This window comes from Homo sapiens, chromosome 10 (genome assembly GCF_000001405.40).
Source record: "Homo sapiens chromosome 10, GRCh38.p14 Primary Assembly".
Taxonomy (NCBI): Eukaryota; Metazoa; Chordata; class Mammalia; order Primates; family Hominidae; genus Homo; species Homo sapiens.
The window spans coordinates 18,653,001-18,659,386 of NC_000010.11; the positions used below are offsets into that span (position 1 = coordinate 18,653,001).

The 6,386-nt window shown below is 41.2% G+C and overlaps 1 protein-coding gene across 8 annotated transcripts in view, besides 2 other annotated features; it reads right to left on the bottom strand.

The window, feature by feature from the left end:
• Positions 1-6,327, bottom strand: part of NSUN6 (NOP2/Sun RNA methyltransferase 6) — a 113,767-nt gene extending 107,440 nt beyond the window's left edge. For 2 of the 8 annotated variants that reach the window (XM_047424778.1, XM_011519384.2), the window contains exons 1-3: positions 6,193-6,238; positions 5,219-5,497; positions 2,025-2,175 (exon numbers count right to left, since the gene is read on the bottom strand). In XM_047424778.1, the coding sequence (XP_047280734.1) occupies positions 2,025-2,063 (39 nt within the window). In that variant the 5' untranslated portion in view covers positions 2,064-2,175; positions 5,219-5,497; positions 6,193-6,238. Of the gene's footprint in view, positions 1-2,024; positions 2,176-3,096 lie in introns of all 8 variants that reach the window. The other 6 variants (XM_024447884.2, XM_011519385.2, NM_001351116.2 and 3 more) reach the window with 3 other exon arrangements.
• Positions 5,260-5,379: an enhancer, noted in NCBI's record as "active region_3115". NCBI's record gives its function as "activates an Ori minimal core promoter by ATAC-STARR-seq in GM12878 lymphoblastoid cells {active_cell/tissue: GM12878}" and the evidence as "EXISTENCE:reporter gene assay evidence [ECO:0000049][PMID:35858748]".
• Positions 6,080-6,209: an enhancer, noted in NCBI's record as "active region_3116". NCBI's record gives its function as "activates an Ori minimal core promoter by ATAC-STARR-seq in GM12878 lymphoblastoid cells {active_cell/tissue: GM12878}" and the evidence as "EXISTENCE:reporter gene assay evidence [ECO:0000049][PMID:35858748]".
• Positions 6,328-6,386: the final 59 nt, after the last annotated feature.

Here is a 6,386-nt window from a genome sequence, read left to right on the forward strand (position 1 = left end):
CAATAAATCCATGAGATTCTTTCATGGCTAAAACATCTGAAAGTGATAAATGTCTAAATCAGACATTTCCAAAGGAATTTCTGTAGCCTGAATTTCATGGTGACCATAGCACCACTGATGGCTAGAATCTGTATTTTAGCGATAAAGGAGGAGAAACAAGTTGAACTACATTTTAAACTCCACAAGGATAGAGACTTTATCACACCACTATGTACCCAAGCCTAATCCATAATGGGCACTCAAATACTTACTGAATGACTAAATGAAAAGATGGATGAACATCTCTATAAACTATGGAAAGAAAATGCTGATAAAGCATTTGCCAGAAATTACTTCACTAGTGCCACACACGGACAGAATTGAGGACATTTAGACTTTTTTGTTTGTTTGAGATGGAGTCTCATTCTGTCGCTCAGGCTGGAGTGCAGTGGTGCTATCTCAGCTCACTGCAACCTCTGCCTCCCAGGTTCAAGTGATTCTCCTGCCTCAGCCTCCCCAGTAGCTGGGATCATAGGTGCCCACCACCACGCCCGGCTAATTTTTGTATTTTTAGTAGAGATGGGGTTTCACCATGTTGCTCAGGCTGGTCTCGAACTCCTCAGCTCAAAGTGATCCACCCACTTCAGCCTCCCAAAGTGCTGGGATTACAGGCGTGAGCCACCACACCCAGCCATTTAGACTATTCTTGACTAGATGTTATAGTAATGACAGTTAATGTTGACGAAGATATCTCTTGGGATTCTAAGGCTGGATCCAAGAAAAGCATATTACAAAACAAGAGGTTGGCATAGTAGATATGTGCTATGTAAGCAAAGGAAAACTACTCTATGAATACACCCATATAAGATTTATTTAGGCTACAAGTTCTTCATATGGGCGACATGGCTCCCCAGGGTGTGGGGAACTCAGGGAGGACTGAAACAATTTTTGATACAATCTCACTCTTTTTAGTTTGTGGAACTCCAAAGCTTAACCTTACCAAAACAATCACTCCTGAGCATTTAATTTCATGGTAAGGGTATGGGAGAATTAGCAGGAAAAAATGTCTAGAAAGGCTCTTTAGGGGGATGATAATTTTAAAAGGTTGATAAAACACTGATTTAGGTGATCACTGCCCTCGAGTCTCACTCTGTCGCCCAGGCTGGAGTGCAATGGCATGATCTCGGCTCACTGCAACCTCCGCTTCCTGGGTTCAAGCGATTCTCCTGCCTCAGCCTCCTGAGTAGCTGGTATTACAGGTGCCTGCCACCATGCCCAGCTAGACAGTTAACTAATTTCTATCTAGTCCTCCCTTTTTCTGTTCTTCCAGGTTGCCTTTTTATTTCTTCTATGACAGACATGCCTCTTTTACTTGCCAAAATGTTATTTCAGACTGATCTTGGAAGAAAGGTCTTAATTCTGCCTCTGGCTATCTCCATTCAAGGGAACTTCTTTCCTTCTTAATTTCAAACCTGAATGGTTCTATGAAAATAACATGACACCTATAGTCACCCATTCACCCATAAATCCAATCCTGTATCAGTACAGCAGCTCCAGTCTAAGCTCAAATTTATTTGGCATTTGAGACACAATAAATTAGGGACTATAGTATCTGGAAAGTGGCCTGGCGCAGTGGCTCATGCCTGTAATCCCAACACTTTGGGAGGCTGAGGCGGGTGGATCACCAAGTCAGGAGTCCAAGACCAGCCTGATCAATATGTAAAACCCCATCTGTACTAAAAATGCAAAAATTAGCCTGGCGTGATGGCACGTGCCTGTAGTCCCAGCTACTTGGGAGGGTGAGGCAGGAGAAACGCTTGAACCAGGGAGGCAGAGGTTGCAGTGAGCCAAGATTGTGGCACTGCACTCCAGCCTGGGCAAGACTCTGTCTCAAAAAATAAAAAAATAAATAAAATTAAAAAGTCTGGAAAGTAAAGGGAAGAATGAATACAATTTAGTTAAGAATACTGCCAGGATTAAACAAACAAAAAATCAATCTTGGATTGGTTCATCTTTATTTCTAGAAATAATACTATATACCTTACCGAGAACTTCCCATTTTTCTTGCCACGCTTATGGAACATTGGAAATTAGCACTATAATTTGCTTTGGGGAACACTTCTCTGAAAATCCAGCAGTCCAACTGTTGCCAGACTTAAATCCCTCGCTGCTTTATCTTGCTCGTATCCTTCCCACCTAAGAAAGGAACAAACAACATAGATTCTTACAAAGAAAATGGTATTAACATATGACTGAAGTTTAGCAGGGTTCCTGGGCAATCTATATCTTTGACACCTCTGGTGTCAAGCTACTAGGGTGCAGATTCCAGTTCTTGCAACCTCAGTCAAGTATTAAAGTTCTTTTCACTTCAGTTTCTTCATCTGTGAAATACAGATAATAGCTCCTGCTTCACAATTTTACTATAAACCAAACAAATTAGGTAGAGTGCTTTAAATGGTACTAGAACAAAGTCCTCTGTAAATGTTACATAGTATTAATATACATGTACTGAAGGAATGGCTATAGGATAGTGAAACGTCATTTGTGAGGAAAGAACTAAAGTGACCTAAATTCTGACATGTCAAGAGAGTCAACTTTTCTATCTAAGGGAGGAGTGAAGATTTCAGGTGTTTAGGAAATGTAAGAGGCTCCACCCGAAGGAATGGGACTGTAGTAAAGAGGGGCAAAGCTGTTTCCAGAGAAGACAGGACCAGAAGCTTCAAGAAATTGAGTCAGCTTCAAAAGCCAAAAACCTACTATAAATGGGTAATTTATAAGCCACCATGACTGCCACACTGAGCAGCCGAGCCCCTAAAGGACTACATGTGTTGATGATACAAGCTTTGAAGTACCTGTTGGAAGGAGCATTTATCAAATGTAGGAAGGCTGGTGACATTGAGCCCTAAACTACAGAAGAGATGTCAATTCTCATTGATTGAATTATGACCAAAGTCATAGACCTACGGCTAGTTTGATCTAGTAGATATTTTGAAACTCAGGATATTATGGCTTCTCTTTGTAAACATAAAGCAACTTTGTCAGAAATTTATCAACATTTTATCAATACACTTTTCGTAATGATAGGAGCGAGACGTGAGTTTCTTTTATATTACTTACAGCATCAAAAATTGTTGGTCTCTCAATAGATATTTACAGAAGGCGATCATATTGATTTCAGACCATATGGCAGGTAGAATTTTCTGACGGGAAATCTATCAGTCACACCTAATCTGGAGACTGATCAACTAAACTAAAATCACAATGGGCATTACCTTAAAGGTTGAGGAAAGTTAAAAAATGGTGGCTTCCAGCACTTTGGGAGGCCAAGGCAGGTGGATCACGAGGTCAGGAGTTCAAGACCAGCCTGACCAACATGGTGAAACCCCATCTCTACTAAAAATACAAAAATTAACTGGGCATGGTGGTGCATGCCTGTAATCCCAGCTACTCAAGAGACTGAGGCAGGAGAACTGCTTGAACCCGGGAGGCAGAGGTTGCAGTGAGCTGAGATCACACAACTGCACTCCAGCCTAGGTGACAGAGTGAGACTCCGTTTAAAAAAAGCAATGGACAAATTGATCAGAGTTGTATAAGTAATAAATTGAATTCAATTACAGCTACAGCTAGCTCTTCCAAGTATTATCTGAAGTTAGTTTGTAATAGTTCCTTTTAAAAACATCTTATAGTTTTATTTTTTGAATTCCCGAGTTGTTTGACATTTTTCTTCCTTGAACTCTTTAAAATATTTTGTTGAACTGGATAGAGATTTTACTGGGATTCCAATTTAATTAAAGGAAGTTATTTCCAATGAACACTTAAGAAAATTAGTTACAATCCTTTTTTTTTTTTTTTTTTTTTTTTTTGGTTCAGACAGGGTCTCACTGTCACCCAGGCTGGAGTCCAGATGCACGATCTTAGCCCACTGCAGTCTTGACCTCCTTGGCTCAAATGAGCCTCTTGCCTCAGCCACCTCATTAGTCGGGACTACACATGTGCACCACCATGTCCAGCTAACTTTTGTATTTTTTTGGAGAGACAGGATTTCTCCATGTTGTCTGGGTTGATCTAAAATTCCTGGGCTCAAGTAATCCACCTGCCTTGGCCTCCCAAACTGCTAGCATCACAGGCATGAGCCACCGTGCCTCTCCTAATGTAATTGAAAGTATTTTTTCTAACAGATCGATAGGTACATCAGCATGATATCTGTTTAGATAATACACAACTATATTCTGTTAATCAATCATATTACTTTTGATAATTGTGGCTATTTTTCTTTCCCTCCAGTTTGTAAAAATTTTAGATTTCCAAATCAGCAAACAAAACTTTTAAATATGAAAAAATATTTTTAAAATATTAGAACAGTCTCATTGTCAGGTAAATTGTTCATAAGAAAGGTGTTAAAAGTAAGTTAAAAGTAAATTTTAACGAACTGAAAACTTCAACACTAAAGTTTTCTGAAATTTCAAAGAAACAAAACCAATAAAAATATCAAGAGCCATGTTCAAATAAATACATTCATTCCACTTAGTTAAAAGTAGAAGTATAATTCAAACTTACTGTCTCTAAAATATCATAAAAATGTTTAAGAAATCTATAGTTTTTTTTGCTTCAAATCTCTGCATTTTCTTTATTTTATTTTTATTTTTATTTTTTTAGACGGAGTCTCACTCTGTCGCCAGGCTGAAGTGCCCTGGTGTGATCTCTGCTCCCTGCAACCTCTGCCTCCCAGGTTCAAGCAATTCTCCTGCCTCAGCCTCCTGAGTAGCTAGGATTACAGGCGCGTGCCACCACACCCGGCTAATTTTTGTATTTTTAGTAGAGACAGGGTTTCACCATGTTGGCCAGGATGGTCTCCATCTCTTGACTTCGTGATCCACCCGCCTCAGCCTCCCAAAGTGCTGGGATTACAAGCATGAGCCCCAGCGCCCAGCCAAATGTCTGCATCTTCATACAAAAATGCTTTGTTCTTTTCAGAAATGGTTTCTTAGAAATCCGAAAGCCAGAAAAAAAAAAAAAAAGCAGAATGTGGTTTACATCCATGTCTAACAATTGAAGAAGCTGTTACGGAATCTAAAGTTTGTTTTGTGATAATGAAGCTAGGACTAAAAATGTCCTTTTAAGCCATTACTTACACAAACACAAAATTATTCACATTTATGGTCCAACTGATAGTCATGAAAGTTAAGTTTGCATAGGGTCAGTACATTCTTTTTCCTCTACATAGGAGGTTGAAACTTGCCTTTAATGTTGTAACGTTGGAGCATATTATCCTGCATCTAAGTCTTAAAGGGTCTTTAAACCATAGCACTGGGAGGACGTAAGTCATACATTCTCCTTGTACAGGTTAACTCAAGAGTTTGGCATGTTAAAAGGCCACGTTGCCAAGGTTAAAATCCAACCATCTGACTGAAGTCAGAGTCTAAAAAAATTTTAAGCTTGCTCCTCCGTCAACTGGTTTCAAGGACATTCAGTTTCGTTTCATGCCAGGCTGTGAAGCTTTTCTTTTCAATGCTAGAACCTAACCATGGAAAGTGGAATTGAAAACAATTACACAGCGAATTGGCTTATGCGTGGACTTCGATCTGGGATCCACGAACATACCTAATGCTTGGCAAAATGGAGAGGGGTGCTATGTGTTATTATTATGTGTTATTATTAATCACATAACTGAACTCTGTGGCTCCAGGCCTTCCATGGCTCGTCTCCCAATCAATTCTTTTCAGAACTAAGAATCACGACAGGGGCCGGGCGCGGTGGCTGAGCCTGCAATCCCACCACTTTGGGAAGTCGAGGCAGGAAGATCGCTTGAGCCCAGGAAATTGAGTCCCCCTGGGCAACACAGCCCGACCTCGTCTGCAATCGATCAATCAATCAATGAGTACATAAATGCATAAGCCAATGAATGAATACGTGAATGAATAGATTAATAAATGAATGAAGAAGAATCACGGCAGAACTCCTAACCCCTAGCACGCCTGCCTAGGGGAACAGGAATAAGTCAGGAAAGAAACACTCTTCACTTCTGTGAGTTTTCTAAGAGCAGCAAACGGCGGCTGCTCACTTAGAGAACCTATGGTCTTTCCTGGTTTTAGAGGTCAGGGAAGCAGCTGCTAGCAGCAGAGACTCAAATCAAAGGGGAGTCCCACAAACGTTTTGAAGGCTGACATCAGAAGGAGCACGCACCAAGGGAAATTTCCCACCCCCCCGCGATACCGCAAATTCCCAGCCGCTGGCCGTTTGGGACTCTCCTACCGGAAGTGAAACCGAAGAAAACGCCACGTCGAAGGCGTGGGTTGCCGTAAGTGCGCCGTCGTCACGCGCCTAGCTTCCGGCGATGGGTGGTCCTGGGATCCGGAGGGGAGGCGGGGTGGAGGCGGGGCTTGGGGCTGTGGAGAGGCTGTGGTAGG